Genomic DNA, 12,240 nt, shown 5'->3' on the forward strand with positions numbered 1-12,240 from the left:
TGAATCACAATTCCTACTTCAAGATATTCCACAACATAAGAAGAAAAAGTATTACAGCCACTTGAAGGCAGTACTAGTTGAATTAATGCACATTTTAGAAATATGATTTAAAATATTTTTTGCAAGATAGGCATCTAATAAAATAAATATGTGAAATTCTCATACTATGTAACCAAAGGTAAAGACTCCCTGACAATTTCTTCCATATAAAAATCCAAGATGAAACTGATCACATAGAGTAAGAGCAGAATGAATGTTAGATCTTTTGAGAACTAGTAACTTAATCCATATTGCTCAACGAAACAGTCAGCTGCAGAGGAAACATTACAACGTAATGTAATAAAAGAAATAGCACCTTTGAAAAACCAAGTTATTTAAAGTAAAGGTTTGCAAAAATGTTCTGAACTACAAATCTCTGTGTGAAAATAATCTGTAAAGGAGGTGGTAACACAAAATCAAGTAATTTTTAGAAGTGTAATGTTATGTGTTGATTATAAATGGAAACAATACAGAACATTTAAAGCCAAAATTACACCTAGATATCTATAGTGGGGAAAAAAAGTTCCTTTTCTTTGAAAGTCACATATTTAATATTCTCTCAAAAACTGGGTTAGTAAATCAACATACTTGAATAAAGGAGGGAAATTTTTTAAAGGACCTATTTACAAATTAAGGCAGTTATGAAAGTAGGTCTGGTGTATTTTTTTTATTAAACACAAGGACAGGAACTTTATTACAAGACCTTTTGCTATTCAATGGAATTCAGAATGAAAGGAGTCTGTCCAAAGATCATACCCCAAAATGTTTAGTTACCTAAGTACCACAAAGGGATTATCATAACAATTGTTACAAGATAATTCTACAGTATAGAGAAGACTTTCTCAACCAAAGTTCTGAGTACAGCATGATCATCTTCCTCATCATCGTTATCATCATCATCATCATCATCACTATTTTTCAGAGACAGGGTCTTGCTCTGTCACCCAGGCTTAAGTACAGTGGTACCATCATAGCTCATTGTAACCTTGAATTCCTGGGCTCAAGTGATCCTCCCACCTCAGCCTCCCAAGCAGCTGGAACTACAGGCATGTGTCACCATGCCTGGTTAATTTTTTTTGTTTGTAATTTTTTTAGGGATGGGGTCTTGCTATGTTGCCCAGACTGGCCTTGAACTTCTGGGCTCAAACGATCCTCCTGCCTCAGTCTTCCAAAGTGCTGGGATTACAGGCATGAGCTACCACTCCCAGCCTGAATACAACATTATAGTCAGATGTCATGTTTTTTTTTTAATAGTGGGGCAAATACTTATGCTCTTCCTAACCCCTTAAAACCTTCACAGTTGAAAACCTTGTCCTTAAGTGGCTAATTTAAATAAAAAGCAGATTTCCTTAGCAGTATAAGTAATTTCAGCTGCCTAGAAATATTTCCAAAGAATATTTTCCAACTGTGACATCTACTTGAATATTTGTGTGTTTTTATGCTGCTACTTTATCTACATCAAAAGTCTTACTTTAGCAAATTATATCCACGCTTCCAAACACTGTTATTAGTCATAATGCTGCCTTATTCCTGAAAAAATAGATTGTGGGTTCAAAAATACCAATACATTATTAACAAGTTGTTATAATTTTGCATTTATTTTCATTTATAAATATCACATAAATATCACTAGCAGGTATAATAGTAAATCGTTAAACTAATTTCTAAATATTGATTTAAAAAGCTTTGAGCATGTTTCAAAAAAAACTTAGCAAAAGTTTTTTTTTCCCCCAGATAATACACCTAATTATTTTCCTAATAATCAATACCTACCCAAAAGTTACTGATATTTGCACAGTTCTTGTAAAAAATAGATCTGGCACAAGAGGAACACAAATACTGGCAAATACCACGTGTCTCAAGTTATATTTTAAGAAACCATACAATCCATGATATTTCACAAAGTTGTTTATTCTTGTTATTAAAACTTGGACTCAGGTAATCTTGGTTATTCTGGAAAAAGCACCTTGTTTGCAGAGATCATTTAATCATCCTTTTCTACAATCACCTCTCCATGAAGCACCTTTCTTCTTTGACGTAACATATGAAAATAGAGTTGTGGAAACACTTCATTGAAAAAGAAAACAAAGAAAAACAAGCTATTGCTTTAAAATTATTTATACTTGAAACCTGTTAAATGTGGCAATGTTAGAGAGTAAATACATCCCATACCACTGCTGTTCCCTGGATATTTACAGAGCTCAAGACTATAAGAGTGCAAATGGAAGCCCACATACCACATGCCTAAATATTCTAATGCTGTAACTGTTGAGGTTTTGTTTTTACTTTTGCTTATTTATTTTTTTTCCTGAGACAGAGTCTCACTCTATTGCCCCAGCTAGAGTGCAGTAGCATGATCTCAGCTCACTGCAACCTCTGCCTCCCAGGTTCAAGCAGTTCTCCTGCCTCAGTCTCCCGAGTAGCTGAGATTACAGGCATGCATCACCACCACACCTGACTAATTTTTCTGTTTTTAGTAGAGATGGGATTTCACCAGGTTGGTCAGCCTGGTCTTGAACTCCTGGCCTCAAGTGATCCGCCTGCCTCGGCCTCCCAAAGTGCTGGGATTACAGGCATGAACCACTGCGCCCGGCCTATTTTTGCTTGTTTTTAACAAACTTAAATACCTTGATAAAAATACCTTCATAATGACCTGGAAGACCATGTTTGAGTTTAGAATTCTGAACTCTTTGGAATGCTGCGCCAGAACATTCCAGCACAGGGAAAACTGGCCCCACCCAGCCTCCTCTTCTCCATTCTACTGGCTGTATCCTGTACTGCAAGGGGTCTCCTGCACATGTGTGAGGATACCCGGGTGCATACATCTAAGCTTCATCCATACCCCTCACAAACAGCTGCCCCCTGGCTATCCTGTTTTCTCAGGGGTGCGTATACTGATACATGGTTAACCCTCAGGACCATGGATCAACGAAGAAGCCTGGTTAGGGCCCAGATGCATGCTCATTGCCCTCTGGGTAGCAAATTCCATGGTCTCAGGTTTCTAGAATGTGATCTAGAAGGCAGTGGGGTGCTGTGTGGAGTGACCACAGAAGAGCTACAGCAAGGTCCTCTTAACAGAGCCTAAAGCAGAAGCTCCTCCTGGCTGGGTGTAAGGGTATTTAATCCATTATATAATAACACATAAATACATACGTTATTAGGTCAGTTGGACAAATTGTCATCTGTCCAGTCAAATTTGAAGAATATTTTGAACCAATTTGAACCAGTGTTTCAAACCAGTGTTTCATAGTATAAATGTTGGTGGATAAACAAATTAATATCAGCTATAAACAATGCCAGTGTAAAAATATTTCTGAATATGATGATCAGAATAATCAAACCAATGAACCTTATCACAAAACAAGCTTTGAATATCCTGCTTAGGCAACTTTGGATAAAAAGTCTTTCTATTTAGGTTCTTCCTAACTTAAGAAAGGTTACCATCACATTATATATACCTAGGGGGCTAAATTTACTCAGGTCATAATTACTTAAACTCACTGACCAATTATTGTAAATACTTCCATAAAATTCCGAGTAGCTGAACAGAAGGTATGGGCTTGAGTTCAAACCCTGCCTTAACTCACCAGCTACTGATTTTTTTTTTTTTTTTTTTTTTTGAGATGGAGTCTCACTCTGTCACTCAGGCTGGAGTGCAGTGGTGTAATCTTGGCTCACTGCAACCTCTGCCTCCCCGGTTTCAGTGATTTTCCTGCATCAGCCTCCTGAGTAGCTGGGACTACAGGTGCCCACTACCATGTCTGGCTAATTTTTGTATTTTTAGTAGAGACGGGGTTTCACCATGGTGGTCAGGCTGGTCTTGAACTCCTGACCTCAAGCAATCCTCCCACCTTGGCCTCCCAAAGTGCTGCGATTACAGGTGTGAGCCACCACACCAGGCCACAAGCTAGTGATTTTTAAGCAACTCACTTAACCTCTTTCATCTTAATGTAAATGAGAAATAATACTACTACTTTTGAATACTAAGTACTCAAAAAGTACTTTTAATTAGCAAAGGATTTAATAAGTAAAATTAATTGATTTATTACTAACATTAAGAATGCAGGGGGAGGAGGGAATTAAAAAAAAATGCAGTGGAAAACATGTTCTGGGCTGAGTGATTCTCTGGCCAGTGGGACTCAGTAGCTGGCAGCATGGTGAACTGGGAAGCTGCTACTGGTACAGGCCAGAGTCTACATCTCCCAGGACAACTGAAAAAGGTGCTTCAGGCTCTCCATTTCCATGGAGATGCCTCAAAAGCCATGAGGAGGAAGAGAACCCACTGTTTGAACCTGTAACTGTCAGACAGACACCGAAGCAAGCTCTGGTTCTGTTCAAGTAATGCTACCATTAACCTGCCATTGGGAAAAGAGAGGGATGTGAACCAATAGAGTAGGCATCCCCTCCTTAGCTCTCCCGAACTGGCTGGGGTAGAAAATCAGATACAGAATCAGGCTGAAGTGGTAGAAGACAAGGGGAAAACATATCTTTCACCACTAAGTCAATTTTGACTTTGGGAAAGATACAAGTTGGAGACATCTGCCGGGGGCAGGGGCTCATGCCTGTAATCCCAGCACTTTGGGAGACCAAGGTGGGTGGATCCCTTGAGGTCAGGAGTTTGAGACCAGCCTGGCCAATATGGTGAAACCTCGTCTCTACTAAAAATACAAAAATTAGGTGGGCACTGTGGCAGGCGCTTGTAATCCCATGAACCTGAGAGGCAGCGATTGGAGTGAGCTGAGATGGCGCCACTGCACTCCAGCCTGGGCAAAAGCGCAAGACTCTGTCTCAAAAAAAACAACAAAAAAAAGTTGGAGACCTCAAGGGGCTGGCCAAGTTTTATGCGCATCTCCTTTAGATGAAATAATTTGTATCATGTCGATGTAGATTTTAGAGCTATCAATATTTGACTTAAAAATATATCACTATTAGCCCCCACGCCTTTTTTTTTTTGAGACAGAGTCTCACTCTTATTGCCCAGGCTGGAATGCAATGGCATCATGTCAGTTCACTGCAACTTCTGCCTCTCAGGTTCAAACGATTCTCCTGCCTCAGCCTCCTGAGTAGCTGAGATTACAGGCATGCGCCACCATGCCCAGTTAATTTCTGTATTTTAGTAGAGACAGGGTTTTGCCATGTTGGCCAGCCTGGTCTCGAACTCCTGACCTCAGGTGATCCACCTGCCTCGGCCTCCCAAAGTGCTGGGATTATAGGCATGAGCCACGGAGCCCTGCCTCACTATTAGCAGCACTGAAATGGAGTAAAGCCTTACCAATTCACTTCAACTGCTGAAAGATGATGAGAAATTAGTGAAGAGGCTGACTTATTCAAAATCCTTTAAGAAAAGAGGCTTTATTATTTGCAAGTACATAGAGCAACACAAATAAGACTCAAAACTACTCCTAGATGATTTTTCCAAGTATATGCTTAATGAATAGATAGAAATGATCTGAAATTTTCTTGGACACAGTGTTTATACTCAGACATATAATTCTAAATGCTTGTAAAAAGTGCACTAATGCTTTAAACATGATTTGTTTTTATCTTTCTTTAAAAAAATCATACTAAGCTGATGTTTAAATGATTTTGAGAAAGCAATAATCCATGCGTTAATTTACCTGCCTTTATTCTCATAGCTAATGAACTGTCTTCTGCCTCTATCTCCCTTCACTTTTCCCAAATTATCAGTAAATATGGAGTTAAACCGAAGTTTTAATGTATTTGTAAGCAATTATTTCTAATTATTTCCCCTTGCATATTATTATATCCTTTCAAAAATTTCCACATCATATGTCAAATCAAAGTACTAATAAGTATATACTTACAAGGTATATATGATGCCATGGTTATAAGAAGAAAATAATAGTAGTCAAAAGAGACATTGTATTTGTTAGGAAGTCTTATTGAAAACATTCCTGTTTTCTTCACATGCGGCAAGGCAGCGTATATTGTAAGAAGTTCACCAGCAACTCCAACAGGATATAAGATGATAAAAAAATTATATCTGGAGAAAGAAAAACCTCAGAGAATTATTTTTCTACAATAATTATTAGACTTTACATTGCAGGTCTATTGCTACTACTAAATTTAAACTTCAAAATTCTCTTTTCTTTACATATTTACAATAACCTTACGTAAGGTTAATAGTTCTACTTTAATCATTTGCTTATTGATTATCATCCTTTTTTTCCTAATACCAGTTTCCATAATAGGCAATGTCTTTTTAATAAAATAGTATCAACTTATTTTAGAGTACCAAAATACTTTTATGTATTAAAAAATGTATATGTAGTTTTTCTTGTTTTTGTTTTGAGATGGAGTTCGCTCTTGTCACCAGGCTGGAGTGCAGCGGCACAGTCTTGGCTCACTGCAACCTCCACCTCCTGGGTTCAAGTAATTCTCCTGCCTCAGCCTCCCAAGTAGCTGGGATTACAGGTGTGTGCCACCATACCCAGCTAATTTTTGGTGTTTTTTTTTTTTGTTTTTTGTTTTTTTTTGAGATGGAGTCTTACTCTGTCGCCTAGACTGGAGTGCAGTGGCACAATCTTGGGTCACTGCAACCTCCACCTCCCGGGTTCAAGCAATTCTCCTGCCTCAGCCTCCTGGGTAGCTGGGACTACAGGCGCCCGCCACCACGCCCGGTTAATTTTTGTATTTTTAGTAGAGACAGGGTTTCACCATGTTGGTCAGGCTGGTCTTGAACTCCTGCCTTCAGGTGATCCACCCGCCTCAGCCTCCCAAAGTGCTGGGATTACAGACATGAGCCACCATGCCCGGCCTATGTAGCTTTAAAAAAAGTATTGTAATGGTAACTTCTTTGGTGCATAAAATCACAAATGACTGCTTTTGTCCGCGGCAGCTAGTAATTTATTGATCAAACACTGCGTTTAAAAAGACCAGTGATTATCCTAAATTTTATATCTAAACCTTGAAATTACCAAGGTAGTTATTTTTAAGAGGCATTTGAAAAAGTCTTTGTGGTTACTAATGAAAACCAATTATTGCAGAAAACTGATAATACCACCTGAAGCATGAGTAGCTACTAATGAGTATATTATATTGTCTAAAACTGCTACCGTAACAAAATAAATTGACAAGTTAGTTCCTGAATTCCCACATTAAAAGAAGAGTGAGCTTGTTTAAAGTAGAGTTAAGAAAGTTCTACTCTAAATCCAAAGTCATCATGTGTTCATTTGGTCTGTGGCAAGGTCTGGAACACACAGTAGGCCAGGCATCCTGTATGCTTCCAATTAGGAAACACTCTGTGTTCTACTGGCTGGTCTCCAATAAGAGGGGCCTAAAGGATCCAAGATGATCATATTTCTTCATTAAAAAAAAAAATCATTTTTCTCTGACTCAGTCACTATATAACAGTTACCACAGAAAACTTAAGAGGCCAGAGTGCAAGACCACTCTGGGCGATATAGTAAGACCCCGTCTCACAAAAAAAAATTTAATGAGCAGACCACAGTGGTGCATGCCTGTCGCCCCAGCTACTTGGGAGGCTAAGGCAGGAGGATTGCTTGAGCCTAGGAGGTCAAGGGGGCAGTGAGCCAAGACCGCACCACTGTACTCCAGCCTGGGTGACACAGCGAGACCCTGTCTCAAAAAAAATAAATTTAATTTAAAAAAAGAAAAATGTTTTTAATTTAAAACAAAAGGTCAACATTTTGATGGAAAAAGAAATCAAATTAATCTGTATTTTATTTAATCATTTTGTTGGCATTAGGAAATATCTATAAAGAAAAGTCAAAGTTGTCAGTATTGAAGAAGCTTGGAGACAAATTAAAAATTGCATTATTCCTGTATGTCAAGGATATGCGAAGATAAGAGATGGGGAGAAGGGCAGAATTATTTGCCAAAATAGATGAGCTATTCAAGAAAGAAGAATGATTCCTTCACTGTACCTGTTAATCCCTTCTTGGCCTTGGAGAAACTCCCTGCTTTCTTACCAGTTTTGGGTAGTTATTTGTGTATCATTTAAATCAATCTTTCCCTATTCCTCAATTTATTAAATCCCATAACTGGACATTTTATATACCTGTCTCAGTAAAATACCCAAACTGATTAAGTTGCAATTTTTACTTTATGTGGTTTTCAAAAGATTTTTTTTTTTTTTGGCAGGATTGTTCTTCAATAGAAGAAAAAATTAACACTCCTACAATAAGCTAGTTGAAAGTCTTAAGGGCAATGAAAATTTCTAATGAAATGGGAACAAATTATATAATTTGACTTTACTTGCACTTCAAAAAGATTGCATGTTACTACTTCTCTAAGTTCTGAGGGCAGTATGGGAGATTTAACTATGGATAGACCACATTAAAAAAAAAGATACAATGCTTCTTTGAAGGTTCCCAATTACTATCTAAAATTTTTTTGAAGGGAGTGCATTTTAAATCAATATGAAAAACCTAACTTAATATATACAATTACCTATTCTGAGGACTTTTCCAAGAACACTTATGACACATAAATAGAATCAAAGTATATTCAAACTGTAACAATAGGCCAAACTACTTATAACTAAGAAGCCATTTCTAAAGTGTAGTTTTATTCGAGAATGACAGCTTCAACATCTGAACATAAATACAAATATTATTTTACCTTACTTAATGGAGTTGGGAAACATATTTAGATGGCTGGGATTTTTAAGATCTTTTTGACATGAAACATAATTATTTATGATTATGATCAACTGACAAAGTATTATGTAACATATGATTTCAAAGCTGAAAGACTGTATAACTTGTTTAACATTAAGGCAATGGATAAACACTTTCTTCTTTTGAGACAGAGTCACGCTGTGTCACCAAGCTGGAGTGCAGTGGTGTGATCTCAGATCACTGCAACCTCCACCTCCTAGTTCAAGCAATTCTCCTGCCTCGGCCTCCCAAGTAGCTGGGATTACAGGCACATGTGGCTAATTTTTTAATTTTTTAGTAGAGATGGGGTTTCACCATGTTGGCCAGGCTGATCTGGAACTCCTGACCTCAAGTGATCCGCCCACCTTGGCCTCCCAAAGTGTTGGGATTACAGGCATGAGCCACCACGCCCAGCCTGCAATGGATAAACACTTTCTAAACAGCAAATTTAAACATACGATGGCAGAGTTTTTATCTTTTCCAGACACTCAAGACATGCAAATGCATTCCAAAAGACAGACACACAAAGCCATCAAGTCTAATGTGCCAACCTCAGGAAAATATGCAATGTACATTCTGCTATCCTCTTCAGACAAATTTTGTAAATTCAGCACATGAAAAGAGACTATATGGTAAGTTAGTATTTTCAAAGGTGCCAGAGGTCCAGAACATTGTCATGCGAAATGATATTGATGTGTTCTAGGATTAGAGTCCAGCTACATTCAAAACTGCCAACCTTTAAAAAGCTCAGTCACTAAAGGTAAACACATTTTCATGTACAGTAAGATTAAAACCAACCAAATCCATATAAATGGTAGTACAACCTTCTTATGACAGACAAGACACTTAAGCTCAAATTATAATTTCAAAGTATCTCATCATATACAAAGTGGTAAGCCGCAAGTGTCTAAAAAAGAGCTAGAGAATATTAAAAAGTCACAAAGAGTATATAACATGGCCAGGCGCAGTGGCTCACACCTGTAATCCTAGCACTTAGGGAGGCCGAGGTGGGTGGATCACTTGAGCTCAGGTGTTCGAGACCAGCCTGGGCAACATGGTAAAACCCCATCTCTACAAAAAATACAAAAATTAGCCAGGTGTGGTGGCCTGCACCTGTACTCCCAGCTACTTGGGAGGCTGAGGCAGGAGAATCGCTTGAGCCCAGGTGGTGGATATTGAAGTGAGCCGAGATCGTGCCACTATCCTCCAGCCTGGGTGACAGAATGAGACCCTGTCTCAAAAAAAAAAAAAAAAAAAAGAGAAAAAAACCCATAAAACACAATTAACAGTGGTTATCCTTGGTTAGAGAGATTATAAGTAATTTAAAAGTGGTTTTCCTTCTTTTTGGTTTATATATTCTCATTTATTATATTTGAACATGTATAATACTTGGGATTAAAAAATAGTAATTGACCAGGCATGGTGGCTCACACCTATAATCCCAGCATTTATCACCACCTGACATATCACATATTATTAGTTTATGTTTTGTCTTCATCATAAGACAGAGAATTTGTTTTGTTCATACCTACATCTCAGGCATGCAGTAGGCACACACCATTTGTCATTGTTATTGCTACCATAAAGTACAATACAAAGAATAAAATGAACAAGTCTATACTGATTTGTGACTTGTTCTCCAAAGAGCAGTTTTGCTTTTATAATAACTTTCTAAAACGTCAATTGCTCAAAGAATTCAAACTTCAAGAAGAACAGATATCTTTTCCTTTAAAAACTGTTGCTTTAGGATATATTTGGAGCCCTTCAAATATAAATTTTATCCACATTCCAAATAATACAATTTTAAGTAAGTGTGACTTTTAAAAATGTCTCTGCAACTTAAAGCAAAGAAAAAAACCAATCGCATTGTGTAAATGGTATAAATTGTGGCTGCTAGATTGACTATTAAAATAATTTACATCACAGACAAAAAAAAAACATATTTTTGGTACTGCTTATGTAAGCTAATTCCAAAAATGTATATTGTGCTTTCCAAAAAAAAATGAATGACTAATTCTGAGGTTAAGGATACCACAATTTGTCTCACATTGATTTCACTCAAAATATTTATTAATACGATTCCTCTCTCATCATTAAGCTTTTAGAATACAAATCATAACTTGTATAATTATTAGTTATACCAGTTATACCTCCTATAACAGCATTCTGGCATCGTGGGGCTGAAACACGAATTTTAATTCTCTGGCGTTAGCACACAAAATAAGCATGCACAGGACAAGGAGAAACTAAACTGCAAGATATCGCCACCTGGCCCATTTAATGAAGTATGGCAAGTGGTCAAGAAGGCTGAATGTGTAGAAGGAATAGCGAGTGATCTCTGTCACAGTCCACGCGACCAGAAAAAGCACCACACTCTCTTCATTCTGGATCTGCAGAATTACAGAGAAACCCAGTGTCATTCAACCTAGAACTTACTTTTCAGTGAAGGTACTTACTTTACTTATTTATTGCCTTTTATTTATAATGGAATGTTAGGGTTAGGCAAATGCAATATAGAAAACTTAATGCAGTCACCATTAACATAATTAATTATAAACGTGGAACTTAAACGTATCTTATGCACAGGAATAGTTGAGCATAGACTCGTTTTTCTTCCCTCGTCCTTCACTTCAGGAAATAACGCTATCATCAGAGGACAATGTTACCTTGCTGAAACCAAAATCTGACCCTCCTACTTCTAGTAATCATTGAATCACACCTGTTCTACTGTAGGACCAACGCTTGAATTGCTCACTCATCTTTGGCCCTTTTACTACTATTTTAATTCAGGGGTTTATCATCTCTCATCTTGACTACTGTAACTGTTTCCTAAATAGTCTTTCCTCCCTTTATTGTCCTCATGAATGCAAGTTGTCTTTTAAAAAGAAGTCAAAGAAGCAAATACATAAAAAACAAATTGGAATCAGCTAAGTCCTGTGATTTAAAAGTTTCACTGGTCCCACACTTCTTAACAGAATAAAAGGATGAGCCCTAATACCTGGGCACCATATTCAAGGTTCTTTGCAATCCTTGCTCGGAAATCTCTCCAACTTCATCTACAATTATTCAACCCTTCTACCTACTTCTCTCTCTGGTGACACTAGATGTTGTTATTTCCAGAATATGCTCTGAACTTGTGCAATTTAACACATGCTATTCACTCTCACTGGAATGTTACTCTCTTATTCCATAAAAAATCTTTTCCTATCTTTCAAGATTCAGCTAAAACATCTCGCCCTCTAGAAAACTGACTCCAACCCTCTCCTCTCACCCTGAGCAGTTATTTGCTCACCACCTTTATTTATTTATTTATTTAGCTTATTTATTTATTTATGTGAGACGGAGTCTTGCTGTGTCACCCGGGCTGGAGTGCAGTGGCATGATCTCGGCTCACTGCAACCTCCACGTCCTAGGTTCAAATGAGTCTCATGCCTCAGCCTCCGGAGTAGCTGGGATTACATGCCCTGCTAATTTTTGTATTTTTAGTAGAGACGGGGTTTCACCGTGTTGGCCAGGCTGGTCTCGAATTCCTGATCTCATGTAATCTGCTTGCCTCAGC

The 12,240-nt window shown here is 37.8% G+C and overlaps 1 protein-coding gene across 2 annotated transcripts in view; it reads right to left on the reverse strand.

The window, feature by feature from the left end:
• Nucleotides 692-12,240, reverse strand: part of HACD1 (3-hydroxyacyl-CoA dehydratase 1) — a 28,343-nt gene continuing 16,794 nt past the window's right edge. For both annotated transcript variants that reach the window (XM_005252641.5, NM_014241.4), the window contains 3 exons: nt 10,950-11,071; nt 5,865-6,043; nt 692-2,106 (listed from right to left, as the gene is read on the reverse strand). In XM_005252641.5, coding sequence (XP_005252698.1) covers nt 2,024-2,106; nt 5,865-6,043; nt 10,950-11,071 — 384 coding nt within the window. In that variant the 3' untranslated portion in view covers nt 692-2,023. The remainder of the gene's footprint in view (nt 2,107-5,864; nt 6,044-10,949; nt 11,072-12,240) is intronic.

This window comes from Homo sapiens, chromosome 10 (assembly GCF_000001405.40).
Source record: "Homo sapiens chromosome 10, GRCh38.p14 Primary Assembly".
NCBI classification, from domain to species: Eukaryota; Metazoa; Chordata; class Mammalia; order Primates; family Hominidae; genus Homo; species Homo sapiens.